The sequence below is a fragment of the Homo sapiens genome, chromosome 3 (genome assembly GCF_000001405.40).
Source record: "Homo sapiens chromosome 3, GRCh38.p14 Primary Assembly".
Taxonomy (NCBI): Eukaryota; Metazoa; Chordata; class Mammalia; order Primates; family Hominidae; genus Homo; species Homo sapiens.
In genome coordinates this window covers 38,319,188-38,334,333 of record NC_000003.12, presented here as the reverse complement: position 1 = coordinate 38,334,333, position 15,146 = coordinate 38,319,188, and the positions used below count along the sequence as shown (strand labels likewise).

Here is a 15,146-nt window from a genome sequence, read left to right as displayed (position 1 = left end):
GTGATAGTGGTCTGAACCAGGGAGTTCAGTGACAGAAGAAGAGATCAGAACCAAGAGATATATTGGGAGGAAGACTTGACAGGTCTTGGAGACTGAATGTGGAAACATGAAGGAGAGGAAGATGCGAAACTGGGCATCACCCATCTACCCTCCCAGTTGCAGGGGTCGAGGGGTCCTCCAGGTTCTGTGTTTCATGGGAGTCATCTCTGCCCACCTTTCTTCACTGAAGACCTTTTCTGTCTCTTTAACAGCTTTATTTAAGTTGAGCTCTTAACATCTCAGTGAAGTTTTGTAACCCTTATAAGATCTTCACTTTGTGCCTTGAAATATGGGGACCTCTTGTTACATTCCATGCTCTCCTGGAGATTTCCTAATAAGAACACTGCTTGGTATTATCCCCGGGTGAAAGACCAGCTCCTTAGTCTGGGCATCAGTTAGGCCTGGACATGAAAAAGGAGTGTTGCCGCCTTGGCTAACATGCTCCAACGAACTTCACAAGTGGTGTGTGAATTCAGACTGAAAACCTTCCTGGAGACTAGCTAAGTCTATCGTTTATTTTATTTGTGCATAGAGTTTTACATATTTTCTGCAGAGACCATCATGTTTTCTGCAATTATAATTATACTTTAACTTCCTGCCTGACCCTTATACTCTATTTCTCTTATTTCTTTTTCTTGTGTTACTCCACCAGCTTCGATGTCTACTACTTGCAGAACAGAAGTAGTGAGGGAACAGTACCTGATCTCAAAGGAAATGCTTTCAACATCTTAACATGAAGTATAATCTTTGCTGTTTTAAGTGTAATCAATTTTATATAGATGCCCTTTATTAGGTTAAGGAAATTCTTTCCCATCTTGAGTTTTTGCCAAGACATGAAAAAATTAATGTATGTTGAATTTTAAGTGATAAATTTAAAGGTATTAATATGATTAAATATATTAATCTATTTTATAACATTAAACTAACCTTGTATTACAAGAAGAAACTCGATCTGGTCACATGTGTTTTCCTTTCAAAATGTACTTTTTAAATAAATATTTTGCACATTACCAGTGCTTAGGAATAACTTATTTATTTATTTATTTATTTTGAGACCAGGTCTCACTGTGTCACCCAGGTGGAGGGCAGTGACAGTATCTGCAACCTCCGCCTCCCAGGTTCAAGTGATTCTCCTGCCTCAGCCTCCCGAGTAGCTGGGATTACAGGCACCCACCACCACGCCTGGCTAATTTTTTGTATTTTTAGTAGAGATGGGGTTTCGCCATATTGGCCAGGCTGGTCTCAAACTCCTGACCTTAGGTGATCCACCCGCCTTGGCCTCCCAAAGTGCTGGGATTACAGGTGTGAGCCACCGCGCCTGTCCACTATTTTGTTGTTGTTGTTGTTGTTGTTGTTGTTGTTGTTTGAGAAAGAGTCTCGCTCTGTCGCCCAAGCTGGAGTGTAGTGGCACGATCTCTGCTCACTGCAACCTCTGCCTCCTGGGTTCAGGCTATTCTCCTGCCTCAGCCTCCCGAGTAGCTGGGATTACAGGCATGTGACACCACACCTGGCTAATTTTTGTATTTTTAGTAGAGATGGTGTTTCACCATGTTAGCCAGGCTGGTCTGGAACTCCTGGCCTCAAGTGATCCACCCGCCTCAGCCTCCCAAAGTGCTGAGATTACAGGCATGAGCCACCATGCCCAGCCTTGTACTTTTACTAGAGACAGAGTTTTGCTATGTTGGCCAGGCTGTCAAAATGTATTTTTATTTTTAAATATTTTTCTGGATTTGATTTATAATATGTTGCTTAGGATTTTTATAATTATGTTCTTGAGTGAGATTAACATCTATTTTTCCTTTATTAAACTGTCCTAATCTGTGTGTGTGTTTTATTCAAGGCTTTGCAAGCCTTATAAATTAGAAGTACTTCCTCTTTTTTTTTTTTCGGAGGTGGAGTCTTGCTCCAGAAAAATTTCTGTAAGGTTGGATTATATAGAACTTGCCCTTTTGCCCTTTTTTTTTTTTTTTCGGTCTTGTTCTGTCACCCAAGCTGGAGTGTAGTGGCACCATCATAGCTCACTGTAACCTCGAACTTGTGGGCTCAAGTGATCTTCCTGCCTCAGTCTCTCAGGTAGCTGGGACTTGTCCTCTTTCATTTTTTTTTTATTTCCCCTCTTTGGGAATAGCTTTAATGTGTTTGTAAACATGATGCATACATATTTTTTAAAATTCCAACGCTACCTTAAAATACAAGTAAGAACACATTTAAATATTTTCATGAAACTATCTGGTGGAAATCAGTCAACATTTTGATTAACATAATTCTGAACATCCCTCTATGTAAAAATAAATGTCTGAATTTTACATAAATGGTATACATACATTACATGTGAGGTTCAGCTAAACTGCTTTCTTCCATTATGTCATGGACACCTTTTTTTTTTCTTTTTTCTTTTTCTGTTTTTTTTTTTTTCCTTTTTTTACAGATAGGGTCTCACTCTGTTGCCCAGGCCAGAGTGCAGTGGTGCAATCGTAGCTCACTGCAGCCTTGAACTTCTAAGCTCAAGCGATCCTTCCACCTTAGCCCCTAAAGTGCTGGGATTACAGGCATGAGCCACTGTGCTCAGCCATGGACATCTTTTCATCAGTAAATATGGAGCTTTCTCATAAATCATACTGATTACATCATCTAAACAATAGTGCCTCCTAGCAATGACAAAGTTACTTTCAATTTTTCTTTATTTTTACTGTAACAAAGCAATAATGAACACCCTTGTGCATGCATATTTTTATATTTGGGTAATTATTCAGGTAAATAGTCAAAAGAGGATTATGGGTCAAAGGGTATACAAATCTTAACTATTCAAACATATTCCCAAAGTCCCATCTAGAAATGTTGCACAATTTGCACTCCTACGCTATTGCAGAGAGAATACCTTACTCTCCACTTCTCCACCCTCTGACTCCTACTCTTTATTTAAAACCAACGTCCAGGCCAGGTGTGGTGGCTCAAGACTATAATCCCAGCACTTCAGGAGGCCAAAACAGGAGAATCACTTGAGTCCAGGAGTTAGAGACCAGCCTGGGCACCATAGGGAAACCTTGTCTCTACCGAAAAAAAAAAATGTTAAATTAACTAGGTCTGATGGTGTGTGCCTGTAGTCCCAGCTATTGGGAGGCCGAGGAGGGAGGACTTCGCCTGAACCCAGGAGGTTGAGGCTACAGTGAGCTGTGATCATGCCAGTGCACTTTAGGGCAAGACCCTGTCTCACAAACAAAACAAAACAACAAAACTAATATCCTTATTGACATATGTCACATGACGCATAATTAACCTATTTATAGCGTATACAATTCAATTATTTTTGGTGTATTCACAGAATTGTGCAACTATCATCACAACCAATTTTAGAACATATTCATCACCCCCAAAAGAATCTCCATACCCCATAGGGTCATTCTTATTATTACCAAACCCCAGTACCTGGGAACCATTAATCTACTTTCTATCTCTATGGATTTGCCTATTCTGGGCATTTCAAATAAATAGAATCATACAATATGTGGTCTTTTGTGGTTGGTATATTTAACTTAACATAATGCTTTCAAGATTCATCCATATCACAGAATGTGTTAGTATGTGTTTCCTTTTTTTTGCCAAAAATATTCTATTGTATGGATATTGCACATTTTATTTATCCATTCATCAGTTGATGAACATTTGAGTTGTTTTAATTTTTTGCTATTGTGAATAATGCTGCTATGAACATTCATGTACAAGTTTTTGTGTGGACATCGGTTTTTATTTCTCTTGGGTATATACCTAGGAGTGGAATTGCTGGACCATACAGTAATTATGTTTGACATTTTGAGGAACCACTTTCCCTTTTAATTGCTAATATTATTCATTTGTACCTTCTCACTTTTTAAAAAGAATTAATATTGGCAGGTGCATATAATTAATCTTCTCAAGTAATTAACTTTCGGCCTTCTTTATCTCCTGTATTAAATTTTTGTTTTCTATTTCACTGATCTCTGCACTTATCTTTATCATTTCATTTTTTACATGTTTGATGAGCATATTTAGCTATTCTAACTTCTTAAACTAAAATACCTAGCTCATTAATTTTCAGCTTTTTTCTTTGTTAATATAATCATTAAGACTAAGTTTGCCTTCTTAGTGTTGTTTTAGCTGTAATCCACAAATTTGGTACACAATCATTTTGTTATCATTCAGTTCTAATTATTTTCTAATTTCTATAGCGATTTCCTCTTAGACCCAGCATTGCTTAGAAATATTTCAAAATCTCCAAATCTTGTGGAGGTGTTACGTTTATCTCCTTGTTATTAAACTCTAACTTAGTGAGTCTCAAACTTGGGCCTTATAAGGATCACCTTGTTAAAACACAGATTTCCAGGCCCCACTCTAGTTTCTGATTCACTATGTCCGGGTGGGACCCTGCATTACAGTAGCCACTAGCCACATGTGGCCATTTAAATTAAACTTAATCTAAATAAATTTTAAAATTCAACTCCTCAGTCATATTATCCACATTTTAAGTGTTCAATAGCCACATGTGGCTAGTGGCTACCGTATTAAACAACATTGATATAGAACAATACCACAGAAGCTTCTATTAAACTATCACAGTCTAGTTGAAAGGGCCCTGGAGGCACAGTCAAATCTAAGGTCTTAATACAGGGTTTAACTGACTTGCCCTTAACCCTGTATTTCCAACACGTGCCTTGGGTAAAACTGTTGAGCCAGATCTGCAGGCCTGTGTCTGGGAGCCAGGAGTCCAAGCTCCATCCTGTCCAGCCTCAATTACAATCTTAGCCTCCATTCTGGCAACCTCACACCTATGTGTGCTTCTGTAGCCCCCCTCTCCACAGAGCCAGGGACCACAGTGCAAGGCAAAGCTGACTTGGATGTGCACCTGCTTAAAACCAGTCAGAGGCTCCTCGCTGTCCTCAGCATGGGGACCTCTGAGCCCAACCAGAGCCCTGGGCATTTGAGATGGTAAAGTGTGGTTTGTTCATGTCCCTTCTCCTCTAGTTTGTGATCCCTGAGGGCATGTGCAGCTCATCCCTGGCACTAGCAGGGTGCTGGGCAGAGTAGGTGCCGAGCATCACTTGTGGAATGAAAGCACCAGGTTGGGGAGCTGCTGGGCTGTTGGCTGGGCAAGGCTGGGCTTGGGAGGGAAGGAGGATGGAGCTCCAGGTAAGGAAGCGGCCACCTGCCCTCTGCAGCTGGAGTTGACACCATGTCCACATCTGCTCAGGTGAATGTATCCTTCTCGCTCTCCCTGGAGCTGCTCTCCTATCAGAAGCTCCCAGCCAACCAGATGCTGCCTGGGGTGGACATTCAGCAGAGCGCGAGTGGAGAGAGAGAGATGGTGTTTACTCAGAACCTGCTCCTGGAGCACACCAACCAGACCACTCAGGCCCGCCCAAGGCCCGCCCAAGGCCCACCCACATGGAGAGGAGGGCCAAAGCGGATGGGTTTCTGTTCTGCTGGGGCCAGAGAAGGAAAGACCTGGCAGAGCCCTCAGAAATAAGGAGCCCCTGCCCCTGTCCTGGGGCTCAGTCTCCCCTAGAAGAGGCCCTGTGTGCAGACAGATGAGGGCCATCCACCCTTACCTACCTCATGAATCCAAAGCTGGGTGAGGGGCCAGAGTGTGGGAAATCAGGGAAGACTCCCTGCAGGAGGTGGCATGTGAAGCCTGTATACTCTTTAATCAAAGGAGAAGGGAAACACATTGATAGGCTGAGGGAACGCCTGATGGGTGGAAACAGTGAGAGTACCTGAGACAGTTGTAAGGAATGAGCACCATAGGCCAGAAGGTCACTAGGCTGTGGTGTGGAGGCTAAGGTGGGGCTGCAGATGAGGAGTGTGAAGGAGTGGCCTAGGGGAGTGTTGCCCACACAGCTGAAACGACCTTTATGAAGATTATGACAGTGAGAGAAATCTAACAAAGCTGACTCCATCTTGGTTGTAAACTCACAGACTAACTGTCCTCGTTCATTCCTGGGCATAGGCCAAGCTAACTATGAGAGGAACATAGTTTTTCTTTTTTTTTTTTTTTTGGAGACGGATTCTCGCTCTGTCACCCAGGCTGGAGTGCAGTGACGGGACCTCGGCTCACTGCAAGCTCCGCCTCCCAGGTTCACGCCATTTTCCTGCCTCAGCCTCCCAAAATGCTGGGATTACAAGTAAGCCACTGTGCCTGGCCTTATAGTTTAACTTTAAAGCAAGGACGATAATAGCCCCTTCTCAAAACTAACCCCCTCCTTGTTTGGGGACCAAATCCACCTTTGTAAAACTAATGAAAGACCACAAGGTTAGAATTATGGTAGGGGCCTGAATCCTGCTAAACTCTAAGCATAGTAAAGTGATAGCCAGCCATTGTTCCCTAGTTTGCTTACTGCTCAGGAGTCACATAGCTGGAGGCCACAAGATTTATAACTTCCTCAACTGCTCCTATAGATAATATCACTATTGTTAAAACCTAAGATTGGTCTTTGAGATATTTTTCTGACTTTTGCATTCAGGCAGACCAAATGACACCACCTAGACCCATGACTAATACCAAGGAGCTGACTCAACCAGTCCTATGACCCCCAACCCAGAAAATGACTCAGCATGTGAAGACAGTTTGGACACTCTTATGGTTTCATCCCCAACCAATCAGTAGGACCCATTCTCTATCCCCCTGCCAGCCTAATTATGCTTTAAAGCCCTAGCCTCTGAGCTCTTAGGGAGGCAGATTTGAGAAATATCTCCCATCCTTCTGCTTGGCCATCTTGCAATAATTAAACTCTTTCTCTGCTGCAATCTGCTGTCTTGATATATTGGCTTTTCTGTGCAGTGGTCAAGAATAACCCATTGGACTGTAACACAATGGATGGGTTTGGTCACTTGGCAGGTGACAGTCCAGTGACCACAATCAAGGAGGGTTTAACAAGGGGACTTTATTACTTGCAACAATTAAGGAGGATGCCAGGGATAGCACCCAAGAGCAATGCCTCCCCAAATAATGGTGAAAACAGGGCTTTTATTAGGTATGTTAGCTGAGTCATTGTATGTAAAGGCAGTGCAGGTGCAGTCACCGATCATGCTTCTACATACATAGCATGTATAGAAAATGGCAAATAAGCTCCCCTCTGGGTAGGTGGTGTTTTTACTATGATAATGAGGAGTGTTCATCAAAATTCATCTCCAGCTCAAGTATCTCTGGATCCAAGTGATTTTTGTTTTTCTCCAGGGGCTGAGCTTCTTTCTGGAACTTTTTGAAACAACAAGATCTCAAGATGCAACAGTTACGTGTGGGTACTTTTCCAGAAGGACTCCAGAGAGGTCAGAAGCAAGAGGCTGAGCAATGGAGCTCGGGCTCTCCAGCCTGGCACCTAGGCAGCTGCTAGGGCTGAGAAGCAAGAGGCTGAGCAATGGAGCTCGGGCTCTCCAGCCTGGCACCTAGGCAGCTGCTAGGGCTGAGAAGCTGGGGCTGAGGTGATGAGGTTGTGCATGCCTGAGGTGCCTGAGTGTGATGTAGGGACTGCCAGGAGCTAGAAGAGGCAGGGCACAGATAAGGCATGAGGCTGAGGGATGGGGCCAGGTGGCTCAGGGCCTGAGAGGAGCTGAAGGCTGAGCCCTGTGGGCCCCATGGAGGAGAAAGGAGGAAGAGGAGGGCAGCTCAATTGACCAGGGAGCAGGGAGCAGAGCTTGTGGGGAGTGAGGGAGGCAGGGATGGCAGGGGGAGTAGATGGCACATCATCCTGGCCCTTTCCCTGCACAGACTCCCACCAGCAGCCCTGGCCTTTAAAGGTAGCACCAGCCCCCTGCCACCTGTTGGGCACTTTCCCTGTTCTCTTGAAGAGCATCAGCACTTGGGGTCAGCAGGGTTCCCTGTGTCCCAGAGGCCTTGGCTCAGAGCCACCCAGAATGGACGAGGTTTCCTGGTCCCCCACAGGTGCTGCTCCTGCAGGCCATAGTGACCGTGCCTGAGCTGCAGCTCTCCACCAGCTGGGTGGACTTTAGGACCTGCTTTGTGAGCCAGCAACGAGTCTGGGAGGTCTACCTAATGCACCTGAGCAGCTGCCGAAGTTACTGGGCCACAGAAACTGGAGAGAAGATGACGCCCCAGGAAGGGTCTTGTCTTAGTCCATTTTCTGTTGCTTAGAATACCTGAAAGTGAGTAATTTATTTAAAAAATAATTTGTTTCTTACAGTTATGGAGAATGAGCAGTCCAAGGCTGAGGGTCTGCATTTGGTGAGGGCCTTCTTGCTGGTGGGGGCTGTTTGCCTGAGCAGACACAGGGCATCGCATGGTGAGGGAGAAAAGTGTTCTAGCTCAGGTCTCTCTTCCTCTTCTTATAAAGCCAGCATTCCCACTCCCAAAATAACCTGTTAATCCATTAATCCATGAATGGATTAATTTACTCATGAGGGCAGAGCCTCCATGACCTAATCATCTCTTAAAAGCCCAGCTCTCAATACCACCACATTGGAGATTTAATTTCACCATGAGTTTTGGAAGAGACAAATGTTTAAACCATAGTGGAGCTCATGTATCATGTCCCGGTGAGGTGGCTCCCCAGGGCTGGCACCATTTGGAATTCCTGCAGAGCAGCCAGTCCCCCATTCCCATGTGATCCCAGAGTTGCCCTGTGGTGCTGAGCAAGACCAGAGGTGCAGACCTGAGATGCAGGCAAGCCTGGGGGTGGGTGAATGGGTGAAGTCTTCCTGTGGTGGTACATGGGGCCACCTGTGCTCATGTTTGTCCTCCCTTCCTCTTGGAGCTGGCCAAAGACACGGTGACCTTCAAGGTCTCTCCAAATAGTGGGCTGCTGGAGGTGTGACCCACCAATGCACCCCCAACCTCCATTACCTTGCAGGTTTTCTTCACTGCCAGTTACAGCCCTTCCCAGAGTCCCCTGCACTGCCCACAGAGCCTGGACATCCTGCCCAGGGCAATTCCTAACCTGCTACCTATAGGAGCAGTAAGCTATACAAGGCCACGTTGGTGGTGCAAGAAGTGCTTGGCAAGAAGGTCTGTACCCTGTGGTTCTGGGGCCAAGAGTCTTAGGATGACTAGAGATACCTGTCCCCTCACCAGCTCTGAGGCTCTGCCCTATCCCTCAGCCCCAGCCCGCAGCTATGGAATAAACATGGCCCAGGGCTGAGGAACAGGTCTGCTGGGCAGGGGGCTATACCAGGTCACAGACTAGGGTGGTGGGGTGGAAACTGGAGAGGGGATAACCTGGCACCTCAGGTCTCCAGCTACTCTAGAACAGCCCCCTGGGATGGAGGAGGCTCTTTTCCAAAAGGGAAATATTTGATACAATTTAATATCAAAAGGAGAAGAAAAACTCCTGGAAATATAGAAACAGTAAAACACTTCCTTAATCTGATCATGGCTATGTACAACACAACAAACTTACTAAAAACATCATGCAATGTTGAAATGGTGAATTATTTCCCTTTAAAATCAGAGTCAAGACAAGAATGCCTATGCACATCACTTCTTTTCCGTGTTGCACTGGAAGAACTAGCTAGTACAGCAAAGCAAGGAAGAGAAATATAAGACAAACGTTGGAAAGGAAGAGACACTATTTAACAAGGCTGTGGATATAAAAATCAACATACGAAATTACAATTCTCAATACCAGCAATTAATGGAAAATGAAATTAAGAAAACAAAAACAAAAGACAGTATTTACAAAAGCTTAAAAATATAAAGTACCCATACATAAGTAAAAACATACAAGGGCTCTAATGAGAAAACTATAAACTAGAAGTTTGCCATTGGACTTTGGAGAAGACAAATAAATGTAGAGACGATATAACATGTTCTTGGTTTGGAAGACTCAATATTGCAAACTGTCCTATAGAGTCACCACAACTCTGATCAAAATTCCATCACATTATTTGTTGTTGTGGAACTTAACAAGCTGATTCTAAGATTTAAATGGAAATGCAAAGAGCCAAGAAAAGCCAAGACCGTCTTAAAGAAAAAACAATATGAGAGAACTTGCTTTACTAGATACCAAGAGGTTAACACACTAGAGTCCTTAAGAAAGTGTGGTATTGGTAGAAGAATGGCCAGGTGACTGAAACAGAACAGAGAACCAGAACCAAACCCACATGTATAGTCACTTGATTTATGATGGCACTGAGACAAGTGGGGGAAAGATCATCTTTCCAACAAAAGATCCCGGAAAAATCAGACATCCATATAAAAAAAAAATGAAGATGAAAGCCTTCTTCACATCATACATGCACACAAAAAAAACAGTCTCAGGAAGATTAGATATGTAAATATGAAAGGCAAAAAAAAATTTAGGTGAAAAGGCAAGCCAAAGGAGGGAAAGATGTTTGCAAAACAGATAAGATGATAATGGACTCATGGCAAGAATACATAAGGCACTCCAATGAAACTCTAAGGACAAGAAGGGACAACTCAATACAAAAATGGGGCTAGGCATGGTGACTCATGCCTGTAATCCCAGCACTTTGGGAGGCCGAGGCGGGTGGATCACCTGAGGCCAGGAGTTTGAGACCAGCCTGGCCAATATGGTGAAACCCCCCCCCGTCTCTGCTAAAAACACAAAAATTAGCCAAGTGTGGTGGTGGCATGCTTGTGATCCCAGCTACTTGGGAGGCTAAAGTGAGAGGATCACTTGAGCCTAGGAGGCGGAGGTTGCAGTGAGCCAAGATCGTGCTGCTGTACTCTAACCTGGGTGACAGAGCAAGACTCTGTCTCAAAACAACAACAACAACAACAACAAGATCCATAAAACAAAAATGGGTGAAAGACTTGACTAGGTACTTCACAGAACAGAAAATCCAAGTGGCCAATGCATTTATGAAAAAGTGCTCAACCTCCTTAGGAAGGGGGGAAATGCAAATTTAAACTCAAGATATAACACTACACAGCCATAGATTGGGTAAAACTTAATCTGAAAAAATCAAGTATTATCAAAGATGTGACACACATGAAGTCTTCTACCCTGCTTTTTAAAAGTGTACACTGAAACACCACTTAGGATAATGGCTTGGCATATCTAGTAAAGTTGAGAGATGTATTCTCTCTGACTCAGCATTCTTGCTCCCAGGTAAAGACCCTAGAGAAGCCAAGATGTCTGTGCTCCAGGGTACAGTTAAAAGAAGGTTCACACAGGCATTATTCATCATAGCACATTTTCACCATTTGGAAAGCACCAAAGGTTTATCACTTTGGATATGGATGAATAACCTGTGGCCCGTTCATACAACAGAATATAGCATAAAAACAAAAAACTTGCTGGGCATTGTGGCTTGCACCTGTAACCTCAGCTGCTTGGGAGACTGAGGTGGCCAGATCACTTGAGATCAGGAGTTCAAGACCAGCTAGGGCGACATAGCAAGATCTAAAAAAAAAAAAAAAAAAAAAAATTTGAGATGGAGTTTCACTCTGTCACCCAGGCTGGGGTGTAGTGGCACCATCGGCTAACTGCAACCTCTGCCTCCCAGGTTCAAGCCATCCTCTCACCTCAGCCTCCCAGGTAGCTGGGATTACACGCATGCATCACCATGCCAGGCTAATTTTTGTATTTTTAGTAGAGGTGGGGTTTCTCCATGTTGGCCAAGTTGGTCTTGAACTCCTGACCTCAAGTGATCCACCCACCGCCTCCCAAAGTGCTGGGATTACAGGCATGAGCCACTGTGCCCAGCCTCCAGTTTTTTTTTTTTAATTAACCAGGTATGGTGGCATGTGCCTGTAGCCCCAGCTACTCTGGAGGCTGAGGCAGGAGGATTGTTTTAGCCCAGGAGTTTGAGGCTGCAGTGAGCTATGATGGATGAATCTCAGAGTTGAGTGAAAGAAGCAAGAGTTCAAACTGTGACTGCTCTTATAAAGTTCAAAAACAAGTAGAAGTAACCTATATTGTTAGAAATGAGTAATTACCTTGAAGGAAGGGGAGGTGGTGACTGAGAGAGGAAGGAGGGAGCTTTGGGATGCTGATAATTTTCTGTTTCTTCATAAGGGCAATGGATACCCGGTATGTGCTTTGTGATATTGAAAAAAACAGGGCTGGACATGGCTCACACCTGTAATCCTAGCACTTTGGGAGGCTGAGGCAGGAGGATCACTTGAGCCCCGGAAATCGAGGATGCAGTGAGCTATGATTGCACCACTGCATTTCGGCTTGGGAACAAGATCGAGACCCTGTCTCTAAAAACAAATAAACAAAAACACATTAAATGATTTATGCACTTCTACATATGTTATTCTTCACTTAAAAAGTTTAAAAGATTACTGTAAGAATGTCAAGTGAAAGAAAACTTATGGCAAAAAGCATTAATAGAGACAGGGGAGTTATATTTAATAATTAAATAATCAAGCAACTCACTCCTTCTTGTGCAGTGTCTCATTCTGATTTTACTTCTCTATTGTGTTCTTTAATTCAGCCGCTATAGTGTTCATTTCTAGGATTTATGGGTGTCATTTTCCAAGTTTGTGTCTTAGGTGTTATGTGACTTTATCTCTGAACATTTTAAACAAAGTCTTTTCAGAAAGAGCACTCTCACCACTAGTTCATTGACGGCAAACCCTCCAGTGTATTCCTTCTGTTTTTATGCCATTTTATTTCTTCACGTGCTCAGTAATTTTTACTTACAAGTTCATTTCATTGAGATTCATCTTCCTTAGAAGCCCTGTTAAGTCTTGAGTTACTGTGGCAACCTTGTTGTGGATTGCTTTAGTGTTTGCTTCTGCCAAGGCCTTATGGGATTCACAAGTGTTTAGGTTTGTTTCTGGGCTTGGGGCTTGCATTCATGGGGAGCTAAGTTTTCTACTCACGTCCTGGAGGCCTCATCCTGTACCAAGCTGCTTCACGCTCACCCCGTGCATCCCCTCAACATGACCTCAAGGCCTTTGGTAAATTGTTAGCAGCATCCCATGTCAAGGATGGGGATGAAAGGGGATAACCTAGAACAAGAGGCTGCTGCCACATTTAGGCCAATGCTTGAACAGTGGTAGAAATATACAAACAGCTAAAAGAAGCAGATGAGAATTCCACAAAGGCAAGTAGTCAGTGACCAGGAAATTAGAGATCCAGAATTCACAGTTCACAGGCATCCATGGGTACCATCACAAGCTGCAAGATTACTGACCTCTCTCTCTCTCTCTCTGTCTGCACACAAGGAGGCTCCTGCCAACATGTCAACACTGTCTAATGTATCATAAAAATATCACGTGTGAGAAAGAGTATTGACAACATACAATTTCATACAATTTTGGCATTTAATTTTAGGCATTACACCAAGATACCTGTGTGATAATAATGACGTGTGAGACCAATAAAAGGAATGTTCTAGTCTAGTTCTGTGTAATAGAACTATAATGTGAGACACAGATGCAAGTCATGTATAGTTTTAAAATTTTTGGCAGTCACATTTCAAAACATTTTTAAGAATAGGTGCAATTCATATACACCGTGGAATATTATGCAGCCATAAAAAAGAATGAGTTCATGTCCTTTGCAGGGAAATGGATAAAGCTGGAAACCATCATCCTCAGCAAACTGACAAAGGAACAGAAAACCAAACACCGCATGTTCTCACTCATAAGTGGGAGTTGAACAATGAGAACATATAGACACAGAAAGGGGAACATCACACACCGGGGCCTGTCAGGGGATGGGAGGAAAGGGGAAGGAGAGCATTAGGACAAATACCTAATGCATGCAGGGCTTACAACCTAGATGATGGGTTGATGGGTGCAGCAAACCACCATGGCACATGTATACCTATGTAACAAACCTGCACGTTCGGCACATGTATCCCAGAGCTTGAAGTAAAATTAAAATAAATTAATAAGAATAGGTGCAATTAATTTTAATGTTTTATCTGCTCAATATATCCAAAATGCTGCCATTTTTACATGTGATCTATATTAAAAATATTGAGATATTTTGTTTTATGTTGTACTAAGCCTTTGAAATCCAGTGTGTTTTTCAGTTATAGCACATCTCAAATCAGACTAGCAACATTTGTTGTTGTTGTTGTTGTTGTTTGTTTTGAAACGGAGCCTCGCTCTGTTGCCCAGGCTGGAGTGCAATGGCGCGATCTCGGCTCACTGCAAGCTCTGCCTCCCGGGTTCGAGTAATTCTGCTGCCTCAGCCTCCGGAGTAGCTGGAACTACAGGCGCCCACCACCATGCCCACTAAAAATTCTTGTATTTTTAGTAGAGAGGGGGTTTCACCATGTTGGCCAGGCTGGTCTGGAACTCCCAACCTCAGGTGATCCGCCCACCTCAGCCTCCCAGACTAGGCATATTTTAAGCCCTCGATACCCACGTCTGGTTAGTGGCTGCTGTATGGGACAGCATGGGTCTAGTCTAGTAAAATACATAACGTCAAACTCTAAATATTATTAGCCATTGATTCAGTAAACAACTAGGTAGGTCCTATCTGGAACTGACTGACAAGCCTTGGCCACCTAAGAAAAATTGAAAGCGTGTAGGAGTGCAGTTGGTCTCGCTGACAGCCACAGCCTGTACAACCAGCTCCTTCACACCCACACTGCCCCATCAGTTTTCTGTCCTGACCCCTCTCTTCCTCCTGTTCCCTATGGCACTAGGTGATTCCTGGCAAAGTAACTTGAGGAGAGGTGTTTAAATAAGGCTAATATGTTGGCATCACAGCTCACACACAGGCCTCTGCCAGAAAGAGCAACAGAGACTTTTCGAGCATCCTGTGGTCCTATGAACAGACACTTTGTGAGATCACTTTCTGGCCCTTCAAACCCCACTTTGGAGACCCTCCTAGGAAACTCAGTCAAGAACAGTAGGCACAGAAAATGACACTGAAAGGGAAAGGCATGGACACCAGCTTCTTGGTGTCCCAAAGCTTGGGAGCACATGCGCAAAGCAGTGTGCTGGGCCAGAGTGCTGGGAATGCTGGAGGCCACTCCCTGCTTCACTGGACTCCAACCTGCCTGGGAGATCCATGGCCTTGCTGCCCTGGCTCCATGAGAACTGACTTGCTTATCTGTCTTCCTCCCTCAGAGGCTATGAGGAGTCGAACCAGAGCTATTCTCTGCAAGCCCATGATCTTCCAATAAACTAGGCAAGCGTGGAGGAGGTAAGACAGGGAGAGAGGAGGTAGTGCCGAAGGCCTGACCCA

At 43.9% G+C, this 15,146-nt stretch overlaps 1 pseudogene; it reads left to right on the top strand.

Moving 5' to 3' along the window:
• On the top strand, positions 5,263-9,183 carry DLEC1P1 (DLEC1 pseudogene 1; annotated as a pseudogene).